This window comes from Homo sapiens, chromosome 9 (assembly GCF_000001405.40).
Source record: "Homo sapiens chromosome 9, GRCh38.p14 Primary Assembly".
Lineage (NCBI taxonomy): Eukaryota > Metazoa > Chordata > Mammalia > Primates > Hominidae > Homo > Homo sapiens.
In genome coordinates, this window is record NC_000009.12 from 17391196 (window position 1) to 17403355 (window position 12160).

General features: G+C 37.0%; 1 protein-coding gene across 20 annotated transcripts in view, besides 2 other annotated features; it reads left to right on the forward strand.

The window, feature by feature from the left end:
* The window catches only part of CNTLN (centlein), a 393595-nt gene that overhangs the window by 256156 nt on the left and 125279 nt on the right, over positions 1-12160 (forward strand). For all 20 annotated transcript variants that reach the window (XR_007061321.1, XR_007061322.1, XR_929282.3 and 17 more), the window contains one exon: positions 3339-3874. Coding sequence is in view for 17 of the 20 variants with exons in the window: in XM_017014839.2 (XP_016870328.1) it covers positions 3339-3874 (536 nt within the window). In the remaining 3 variants the exon portion in view is untranslated. The remainder of the gene's footprint in view (positions 1-3338; positions 3875-12160) is intronic.
* Positions 6014-6535: an enhancer, noted in NCBI's record as "OCT4-NANOG hESC enhancer chr9:17397207-17397728 (GRCh37/hg19 assembly coordinates)". NCBI's record gives its function as "activates a minimal SCP1, AML or CMV promoter by ChIP-STARR-seq in naive and primed H9 embryonic stem cells {active_cell/tissue: H9 hESC(naive and primed)}" and the evidence as "EXISTENCE:reporter gene assay evidence [ECO:0000049][PMID:30033119]".
* Positions 6056-6350: a silencer, noted in NCBI's record as "tiled region #9002; HepG2 Repressive non-DNase unmatched - State 24:Quies, and K562 Repressive non-DNase unmatched - State 24:Quies". NCBI's record gives its function as "represses a minimal TATA promoter and a strong SV40 promoter by Sharpr-MPRA in HepG2 and K562 cells {active_cell/tissue: HepG2 | K562}" and the evidence as "EXISTENCE:reporter gene assay evidence [ECO:0000049][PMID:27701403]".

The window sequence follows — 12160 nt, forward strand, 5'->3', positions numbered from 1 at the left end:
GGCCTGTCTGCTCAGATTCTTCTTGCCCTCTGTGTAGACTTCCTTCCTCCCTGGGTATAGGACAGGACCCCTCTGGAATGAAAGTCTTCAAGGCAGAACTGAGAAGGGAGAAAGTGACCTTTCTTGGTTTTATGGCTTGCTTTTGGGGAGAGGAGTTCTAGTTTGTATGACCTGCCTTAGGGAAGAGGAATTATGTTTGATATGACTTCCTTTAGAGGAGAAAAAGGGGAGGGTGACAGGAAGGCAGGAGATCTTGCTTCTGAGGCACTTCCAGTGACCTTCAATTTAAGGTACTTGGCAAGCCAAAGTGACATACTTTGGTGTGTTGTATTCTGAGCCCCAACGTATGTAAAATTTTAATGAGTTGTCCCCAAACTTAAATGGATTTCAGTCAACAGAAAAAAAATGCTAATTTCCAGAATTGGAATCTCAAATTTAAGATATTTATTTGTTATATTTGTTTATAACATAATTTAATTGAAATATACAGCTGATTTAATGGCTAATTCAGACTATTCAGCACAAGTAATTATATTTTAGTTACAGCAGTTTTATTAGGTAGATGTTAAGGTGAATGATAATAGAAACAGTAATAATGATAATGATAATAAATTGTTTACTACTTACTGTCAGGAATTATGGTTTATGATCACATTTAATACTCCCAACAAAACTGCAAGATGTAGGTATTACTATCCTCATTTCACAGATGAGGAAACTAAAGGTAAAATAACTTAAATATTTTACCAGCTAAAGCAAGTAGAGTTGGAAGTGAGATATAGACCTGATTCAAAATTCTGTTTCCCCTAAAACATACTGCTTCTTAATAATATTTTTGTATCACCAAAGTCACTGTTTAAAGAAAAAATGTGGACCAATCAAGGCAACACAATGCGACCCCATCTCTACAAAATATAAAAAATTAGCCAAGTGTGATGGTGCATGCCTCTGGTCCTAGCTCCTTGGGAGGCTAAGGTGGGAGGATCACTTGAGCCCAGGAGGTCAAGGCTGAAAAACCATGATCGAGCCATGGCACTCCAGCCTGGGCAATAAAGTGAGATCTTGACTCAAAGAAAGTGTAATTACTTACTTGCATCAAATATGTATTTAAAAAATAGAGTATGTTTTACTCACTCCCCTTTGGAATTTAATATGCAAAAGTATTTTAAAATATATTTATGAAAAGTATGCTGATTTGGGCAGTGATTAACACTCCTTCAATAAAATTTAGAGGTAGAGTGATTTGGAAAAAGTAAAAAGGATTCTGGCATAGATTTTTTTCTTGAACACTGTATTTTTTGTCATATTAATCAGCTCCCCAATAAAGTGTTTACATTGAGAAGGAACAATACAATCTCTTTCACAGAAATATGCAGAAGTCTACAATAGTTTGAGACAAAATTTTTCAGATACCTTTATTCCAGGTCATGTGTAGGTCCTTTAAGGACATAGGTCCAATAGTAGGTTAATATATCATACCATGGAATAGAAGTGATTAAAATTAGGTGAGATTCTTCATACTGTGTTGAGAAATACCCATGCCCCAGGATAGTGTAGTCACTTAGTAAATTAATGTTGATTTAAATGAAAGAGGTTGAACATTAAAAAAAAAAGGGTAATATAGAAGGATGTGTAAATCAGACATGACTGAAATTCATGTTTAGGAAACAATTTACATCTTCACTATTACAAGTAAAGTTTAGTAAACTGGAAAGTGTTAAGAATATGTATGTTTTATCTTGTATATTTCTGGAATATTATTATTTTGAATCATTGGTTGTTGTCTTAGTCTCTTCAGTTGGCTATAGAAAATGCTAAAACTGAGAGGATTATAAACAATAGAAATTTGTTGTCCAAGATCCAAGTGTCCAAGATCTGAGATTCAGTGTCTTGTGAGGACTCTCTTTCTGTTTCATAGATGGTGCCTTCTTGCTGTGTCCTCACATGGTCTAAGGAGCTAGCTAGCTTCTGGGGTCTCTTATAATAGCACTAATCCCATTCATGAGGGCCCCACCCTCATGATCCAATCACCTTCCAAAGGCGCCACCTCATCATGCCATCAAACTAGTGAACAGGTTTCAACATATGAATTTTGTGAGGGACACAAGTATTCAGACCATCGGAGTTGTCAGTATATCAAACATGTTTCTCTTTGAAGAATTTTGTTTTAAAAGTAAAAATGAGTTCATATACTTTTTCAGTCATTTAGATTGTTTTGCTTGTCTCCAGTTTTTTCTTGACTCCAAATCTTTGTTCATTTTCCATACACGTCTGAGTAATTTTTCTTTCTCATATGCCTTGTTGAATAGTGGGAAGGGCACAAAATCCTGAATTTGGATCCCAGTTGAATCCCAGAAAAGTTTACCTCTGTGAAATTTAAGTTTTCAGAACCTCTCTTTCCTGTCTGGAAAGATAATTGTTGGTTCTACATACCTCACGTTTTGAGATGGTCAGAAGAGATCATGTTGATCATGTTTTTGAAACTATTTTGTAAATAGTAAAATGTACTTTACAAACAATAACACTTATTATTAATAAGATCTAAATGTAAGTCAACTCCTCCATGAAATGTTTGAAATTATGAACTAGAATTAATTGCCCAGACTTATGATACTTAGATTATATCCTTTATTAGGTTTATGTATGCAGGTGTTGGTCTTTTCAAATAATTTTGAAATTCCTTAAGATTAACAAATGTGTGTTGCCATTGCTATGTCCTATAACACAAGCATTGTTTATTGAAATAAATGGGAAAATTTTAATTTATGTGCAACCTTGAAATCATTATAATTTAAAATTGTTAGACTTTATTATTTAGTAAACTGTTCCCTTATCACATAAACTGAGGACCACATGACTACTAAAATTACATTTTTCTAATTTAGAAAAAAAGCAGCCTCAGTAGATTACTTTATATTGTCATTCCTTTTTCATATGATTGTCGAATATTGAAAAAAAGTTATTTATTATTACAGTTTATCTACTTTTAGACATTTGTGTATATTATTTTTCTCTGAAATATTTTTTTCCACAATGAATAGAATATATAGCCAAGGCACTTATGATCTCAGAAGACACTGCAGTTTATTAGCATACTTAGTTCTGTCACTGTGTAGAATTTTACCTTCTTTTACCATCTGTCCTTTATTCAACAGATACATTATTGCATTTTTGAATGTATTCATCTGCACTGCCTTAGAATTATCTAGAAATTAAGTACTTTATATTTATTTTGTCCTTGTGCTAAATGTGATTTTTATTTCATAAGTTAGAAATGGTAATAAAGTATAGTAGATTATGGTTTTTGGATTCTTAAAAGAATAAACTCTTTCCTTTAGGTCACTGAGTTGGAAAATCGGCTGAAATCTTTTGAGAAAAGGTCGAGAAAATTAAAAGAAGGGAATAAAAAATTAATGAAAGAAAATGATTTTCTGAAATCCCTCTTAAAACAGCAACAAGAAGATACAGAGACCAGAGAAAAAGAGCTAGAACAGATAATAAAGGGGAGTAAAGATGTAGAAAAAGAAAATACTGAACTTCAAGTAAAAATCAGTGAGCTGGAGACAGAAGTCACTTCCCTGAGGAGACAAGTGGCAGAAGCTAATGCATTGAGAAATGAAAATGAAGAGCTGATCAACCCAATGGAGAAATCACACCAGTCAGCAGACAGAGCTAAATCCGAGATGGCCACCATGAAAGTGAGATCTGGACGATATGATTGTAAGACAACTATGACCAAGGTTAAATTTAAAGCTGCGAAGAAAAATTGCTCTGTGGGTCGTCACCACACTGTTCTCAATCATTCCATCAAGGTTATGAGCAATGTGTTTGAGAACCTCAGCAAGGACGGCTGGGAGGATGTGAGTGAAAGCAGGTAAGGCTCTCATTAACTTAGCTCTGTGGTGGGGACACTGCGCATATGTAAAGCACTAGCAAATGGAGATTGAATTTCAACTACTGTCGATTTGGTATTCAGAAAAAATACTGTCAGATCCTTTGAAATATCTTGGGAGGTCTTGTTCTGAGCTTATTGACTGAAATTTGCATGCAAAATTAGCCACAACTGCATGAGTACTTGAATAGGTGCCAGGAAACCCAAAAGAAGGCAATGCTTGATTTCTTTCAGTGATGCTATTTTCATGCAGTCATGAGGCTTGAAATTGACAGTTTGGCAGGTTGATTTAATCTGCTGGCCCTTTGCATATTCACCACTGACAGCTAAGGATTCCCAGGCAAGCCTACTAAGTCGGTTTAGTTATCTTGTGACATACCAACCTGGGAGGAGAAACAATTTTCCCCCTTAATTTAGTTAGATAAATTTTGAATGACCCATTTCAGCTTGTTACCAGATGTCTACAAGCTGTTTAACATCCTTTAAATTAAGAACCATCTTCACTAATTATTTTATGTATGTATTATGCAAAGTCATTGTATTAACTTTAATTGAATGGTGGTTAAAAATTAGTTCTTTAAAGTTATAGCTCTAAAGATTCCTAGTCTTAAGATATGTACCCCTAGTGAACAGCAACAGGAGGATACTAAAAATCTATAATGCTTCTTTCTCTTACCCCTGGCTATACATTCATATATGCACTTGAAACACATCAGTAAAACTGTCAGAGGCCTGTGAACCAGAGCAACTCCATCTTAAATAGGAGCTGGGTAAAATGAGGCTGAAACCTGCTGGGCTGCATTTCCAGATGGTTAAGGCATTCTAAGTCACAGGATGAGATAGGAGGTCAGTACAAAACAAAGGTCATAAAGACCTTGCTGATAAAACAGGTTACGGTAGAGGAGCCAGCCAAAACCCACCAAAACCAAGGTGGCCACAAGAGTGATCTCTGGTTGTCTTCACGGCTACACTCGCACCAGCGCCATGACAGTTTACAAATACCATGGCAACATCAGCAAGTTACCCTATGTGGTCTAAAAAGGGGAGGCATGAATAATACACCCCTAGTTTAGCATATCGTCAAGAAATAACCATAAAAATGGGCAACCAGCACCCCTCAGGGCTACTCTGTCTATGGAATAGCCATTCTTTTATTCCTTTACTTTCTTAAAAAACCTGCTTTCACTTTGCACTGTGGACTCGCCCTGAATTCCTTCTTGTGCAAGATCCAAGAACCCTCTCTTGGGGTCTGGATCAGGACCCTTTCTTGTAACAAAACCACAAAGACGAATGATAGAACACCTCTTTTTTACATCTAGACAGTAGGGAAGTTCAGTGTTGCCATAATTGCTAACAAATTGCCCAATTTGCCATAATTTTAAAAATTCTGCCTTGTTTTATAATGACATATGTCCTTGATTTTCCCTAGTTTTTTATTTTGTTTTGTTTTTAAATCCCTAATAGTGATTCTGTTTTAGATTTGGGATGCCTCCGGATACTTTTCCTAATCACAGACATAGAACTGAAAATTACCTTAAAATGTGGTCCCCAAACTTGTTTGCATATTAGAAGCACCTGGAGGTTTTATAAACATTCCAAAGGTTAGGTCACACCCCAGACAAATTAAATTATAACCTTTGGAGTGGGATACAGGCCTAAGTATTTTTTCAAGTTTCCCTGTTGAATCCAATGTGCAGACAAGTTTGAGAAACACTGTTTTTAAACATCATCTACTCAAGCCCCTTGTCCTCAGGCAGTTAAAGAAACTCAAAAAACATATTCATGAAGGAAAGGCCAAAGGACCAAATCTGCATTCCCATTTCGGTGTTACCGAGGTTCTTCTTTCCTTCTCTCAATAGCAATTAGAGGTAAAAACTTACTTCCCACCCACTAAGCGTTATCTTTATATCTCATTATTCCTCTGTCTTCAAGGAAATTCTAGTGCTAGCTACTAATTCTATCTTAACCACTTGGTACTACCACACTATTCAAAATAAAGTGGTGCCATTTACTTATGTGCAAATATGTATGTATGAATAAATAATCAATAGTTAGGTAATTCACTAATATACTTTTTAAATTTTATCATATTAGTGTTTCCAGAAAGAGGTCCCAATTCAGACCCCAAGAGAGGGTTCTTGGATCTCACGCAAGAAAGAATTTGAGGCAAGTCCATAGAGTAAAGTGAAAGCAAATTTACTAAGAAAGTAAAGGAATAAAAGAATGGCTACTCCATAGGCAGAGCAGTCCCCAGGGGCTGCGGTTGCCCATTTTTATGGTTATTTCCTGACTATAGGCTAAACAAGGAGTGGATTATTCATGCCTCCCCTTTTTAGACCATATAGGGTAACTTCCTGACGTTGCCATGGCATTGGTAAACTGTCATGGCACTGGTGGGAGAATAGCAGCGAGGATGACCAGAGGTCACTCTGATCACTGTCTTCTTGGTTTTGATGGGTTTTCACCGGCTTCTTTACTGCAGGCTGTTTCATCAGCAAGGTCTTTATGACCTGTATCTTGTGCCGACTTCCTATCTCATCCTGTGACTTAGATTGCCTAACTTACTGGGAATGCCTCCCGGCAGATCTGAGCCCTATTTTACCCAGCACCTATTCAAGATGGAGTTGCTCTGTTTCAAACACCTCTGACATTAGTGCATGTGCACAAGGTCACATACTTTGAGAGACATATCATACAATATCTCTTAAAATATAGGATTGTCATTTGTGTTATTTAGCAGTAAAACTCAATTTTACACCATGATTAGTGTTACATTTCCTGCCTGACAGAATGCCTTCAAGAGTCACTCAGCTGCAAAAGAATTCTCAAACGGCTAGAAATTCTTGCACTAGAGCTTTAGGGACTTCAGAAGATTCTTTCTTTTAGATTTTTATAGACAAAAATATAAGAGTTACTTGGATATTGAAAAAAATAGTATGTATATATATAATTTTGTATATATAAAATACTATATCATATGATTATCACCTTCTCAGTATTTATTTCCCATAGTTGAATAGTATTTACAAGAGCATGCCTTTTCAGTGATGGGTTTTATCAGGAGGAGGTGTTTATATCTTCAAGAAGAAAAATAGAATTTCAGTATTCCAAGCAAATTAAAGAAAGAGAAGTGAAGTTTGTAGTGTTATTGAATAAAAGGGGCTCGTTGCCTTATGCTAGAAGTCAATACTATGACACTGGGTTTTTGAGAAAAGAAAAGCTTTATATTGCAAGTTGACTTACAAGGAGACAGGAGTGTCAAGCTCAAATCTGTCTCCCAGGCTGGCTTCAAAGCAGTATTTTTAGAAAGTGATGGGGGGAGGGGGAGTTCTGAGATTAATAGGTGATTGGTGAAAGGAAAGGGGAGATCTGCAAAGTCCTTGAGTGGTTATCTCTTCATGCTATCATAAGTTGCATATGCAATTCTGGGATAGTATGAAACATGCAGTGGAATTTCAGTCTGTGACATCAGCAAGCTCGTTCTGTGCAGACTCCAGTCAGCCACATTGGTTCCAACTGATTTCAGCTAGTTCTTTTATCTCATAAGCAGAGGGAGTTTCATTAAGTTGTTTCTTTTTTATTTGCCGCCTGCAAACTCAAGAATTTCTGTTTATCATTGGTTTCTTTAACTCTTTGAGGCATGGTTTCAGAAGCAGAGAAATAAGAATTTATTGAGGAGATTATAAAGGGTTGCAAAACGTGCCATACCAAAATAAGCAATTTTGGCATAAGAATTATTTCAAACTGAAGCCAGTTCAGAAAAAGCAGTTACAAGAAAAGCTCTCTTATCTCCCGCTAAAAGCAGTACATACATTTACCAAGGTATTCCTTCTTCCCTCTCTGCCAAAAAGGGATAAAAACTAATCACTGGAGACAACTTGAGTCCCTAATGAGCCTGGAGGTAGCACCAGAGGAAGCTACGTTAACACATTTTACCAACTAGCCTTCATCTACCATTAGTTTTCCATATATTTGCCTTCCTACAATTTGCTGTTCCTTGGGACGCAAGTCCTTTCTTTTCCCTTATCACTTCTTTAAATAGTTGTTGTTCTTTGCTGAAGATGCTATGTAAACTGGAGTTCTAAGCCACCTCTTTGAGCTACTCACTTCCACGTAGTCCCATGTATTATATGTGTGATACACATGTTAATATACTTGTTTTTCACTTGTTAATCTGTCTTTTGTTACAGGGGTCTCAAATGAGAACTTAGAGGGAAAATCATTTTTTTCCATCCCTACAGTCATACTTTCTACTTCTATTTTCTCTTATCATTAAGTTACTTATTTAATTGCCTGGTCACATTTCTCAAACACAACATAAACTTCCATGATTCTATGTATTTAGCCTGTCTGACTTCATGTCTCTCCCTACTAGTGCATTTTATTCTCATTCAAAATTATTTTACAAGAAACTGATGCTCTTTGACTTTTCTTTTTCTTTTTGCTTCAGGAATATGGCATTTGGATCCTTTTAAAGTTTTCAACCTTAGTGCTAAAGCCCTTTCCATCTTCCTTCCATTTTATAAAGCAGCATATTCACTCACATTACCACCTTTTGTAAACAGATGATAACAACTGATGGGGTTCAGGACATACTCCTCCCAAAATATAGTTGAAGGAATTTGAAAAATGGCAGGTGCTAGAATGACTCTGTGACCTTCTCCCCTGAAACAGATTATAAGATCCTCACATAAGAGGTGGCTTCCTTATACCAGAGGAAAGGAACGTCCTTATCTCAAAAGACAGAGGAACACCAAGATGAATCTGAATGAACAGCCACACTAAGTGTCCCCCAGTTTACTATGCTTAGCTCATACTCTTTTGTCTTACCACATTTTCCCATGACTTTCTATTTTTCATCAAACCTCGCATGTAACCGTTTCTTCGGGTCCTCATTTCCTTATGAAGGCTCCCTTATCATGTAAAACTTATATTAAATAGATTTGTTTGGTTTTCTTTTGCTAATCTGCATTTTTACGGTGTCTCAGCCAAGAACATAAGTTGGATAAAAGAAACATATTTTTTCTCCCCAACACAACTCTACCATTATTTATTTATTTATTTTTTTGAGATGGAGTCTTACCCTGTCACCCAGGCTGGAGTGCAATGGCGTGGTCTCGGCTCACTGCAATCTCCATCTCCCAGGTTCAAGCGATTCTCCTGCCTCAGCCTCCTGCGTAGCTGGGAATACCGGCGCACACCACAATGCCCGGCTAATTTTTTGTATCTTTACTAGAGATGAGGTTTCACCATGTTGGCCAGGCTGGTCTGGAACTCCTGACCTCGTGATCTGCCTGCCTCGGCCTCCCAAAGTGCTGGGATTACAGGCGTGAGCCACTGTGCCTGGCCAACTGTACCATTATTTAGAGTATATCTTAGGGATTAGGAACGTGGAATCTGTTACCAAACTACTTTTGTTCAAATCCTAACTCTCATCCTCTAGCTGTGTGACCATAGGCATGCTATTTGACCTGTCTATGCTTCAATTTCATTATCCATAAAATAGGCATAATGATAGGATCATATTCATAGATACGTTGTGAGAAAGAAATAGGATAGAACATTAAAATAGCACCTAAAACATGTTCAGTACTGTATGTTTATTATTATTAAAAGGAATCATTTTTTTTGGCTATCTGAAACACCCCTTACCCCATCCTCAGCATATTTGTATGTATGTGTGAAATGTATATGTTAATTCATTCATTCATTCCCAGTTGTGGTCAAGAATATGAAAAATTCTGCAATCAAACAGTGTAGTCTCACATAACAAAGATTTATTTTTCAAATTGTGAGTACAGGTCTTTTTTAGGCCTGCATTTTGTTGCTGTTTATAGATTCCACACACACATAAAAATCTTTATGATTGCAAAGATTTTTAATCTTGGAAATTTTTATACTGCTATTTTTTAATGACCTATACATTTCATTTGATCCTCATTGAAGTCCTGATTCTTCTGTGTTCTCCACTAAATTGGTCAAAAATCGGTTTGTCTGTACTTTCTGAAAATAGCAATCTTGCTTTAGGTTCCTAGCATTTTATTCCTAGGTTACTGTAGATCTAGATTCCATAGAACTTTGCATATAGTTAGTCTCTTGACACAGTATCTTAGGATAAAGTAGTAGAGTTCCTTTCATGTTGTTAAGTTTTTGATGGATGACCAGACTATATATACATAGCAGACTGTGAAGAATAAGTGAACAAATACATTTCTTGAATCATTAAATAATATTCATTGTCTGACTACCTAATATAGTACGGTACATTAAAGCAAAATCCATATAGAGATTTTTTTTTTTTAATGACGTGGAGTCAAGCTCTGTTTCCCAGGCTGGAGTGCTGTGGCACAATCATGGCTCACTGCATCCTCGACTTCCTGAGCTCGAGCTACCTTCTACCTCAGTCTCCTTAGGAGCTGAGACTACAGCACGTGCTACCGTGCCTGGCTAATTTTTCAAATTTTTTGTAGAGATGAGATCTTGCTACATTGCCTAGGCTGGTTTTGAACTTCTGGTCTCAAGTGATCCTCCTGCCTTGGCCTCAGAAAGTATTTGGATTACAGATGCAAGCCATTGTGCTTGGCCTAGATTAGAGGTTTAATGAAACAATGAAAATTTTAAAAGTATTACAAGAAATTACAAGATTACTTGTTTATAACTTTGGAGCATCTCTAGGAAGTATACTTAAGCAAGAGATGAAAATACAGAGCCAGATATGAAAAAGCGTTAATAGAACTTTAAACATCTATATAGTAACAGATATATAAAAAGAGTTAAAAGTCAAATGACTAACCAGAAAAAGGTATTTACAACACATAAAGAAGGTAAAGGACTAATATCCAGAAGATTTAAAGATCATCTACAAATTATATAAAAAGACGCATCAATAGAAAATGGGCAGTGCTATGGACAGGAAATATTAATGGCTTGAGGAGATGACTCAGTGAACCAAAGATTATGAATATGTCTGTAGCAGACAGAGGTGGTATGTGGAATGCCTGACAAGCATGACAAGAACCACATATAGACACCTAAGGCTATGCGATTTCTGTTGACAACTGTTCTCTATTCAAAAAGCTAGTACTACTGGGAAGAGGCTGCAGCAGTGGCAGATATTTTATTTCCACAAATCCCCCATCAAAATAAACAAAACAAATAGGAAGGCATAGCCAAAATCTCAAGGATAGCATCTACAATAGAATTAGTGACAAACCCAAAATATGAACAGGTAGGGACAGCCATCGACAGCTGTATGACTTGCACTGTATCAAGAGAGAGAAAATTGGTGTCCGGAGAAAAGAAAAATACAGTTCTTCTATGAGCTATCTATACCAAAAGACCAGAACTTCCTCACTGAACTAAGTCCCACATGGAGGGGATGACACTGTGAAAAGAAACTGAATTATAGGGACAGTAGCCCCCTCTGTTGGTTATGTATCAACTTGTTATGTGTTTTTGGATGAGATTAACATTTAAATCAGTGAGCTTTGGATAAAGCACATTGTCCTCCAGCATGGAGATAAACCTCATTTAGTCTGTTGAAGGCCTGAATAGAATATAAAGAATGGCCTCTGTGAGCAAGAGGGAATTCTCCAGAAAATTGCCTTCAGATTTAATCTGCACCATCAGCTCTCCTGGGTCTCTAGCCTGCCAGACTTCACACTAGAACTAGAAAATTGACTTTCCTGGGTTTCCACCTGCTGGCAATTGGACTGAAGCTACACCATTAGTTCTCCTGAGTCTCTAGCCTACTGGGCCATACTGTAGATTTGGACTTCCTAGCCTTCACAATCACATGAACCAATTCCTAAAGATATATACGTGCATGCATACATCCTGTTGGTTCCATTTCTCCAGAAAAACCCTGACTAATCCACCTCTCTACTTCCCACTCCCACTCCAAAAAAAGTAGTGAAGATTGAGATCAATGTTGAGGGAGTGCGTCAAAAGAGGCATTTTTCAGTATATCAAAAACTTGGAAGGAAAAGTTGGAAGATTGGTGACAGGGAGGTCTGTGGGAAGGTTGGTGGAAGATTGGTGGCAGGAAGGTCTGTGGGGAGGTTCGTGGATGGACCTTTTGGAAGAGATACACACAAAGCCCATTCTGTGAACAAAATGACCCATTGTATAGATCTTGCCTATTTCACAGCTATCTGAGGGCTTGCTTAATGGGTTCATGAACAAAGTGGCTATGGCAACAGGTATAGCTTCTACATGGCACAGGTGTCCTGCCACTAATCTTCCAATTTTTCCTTGCAAGCTTTTGAA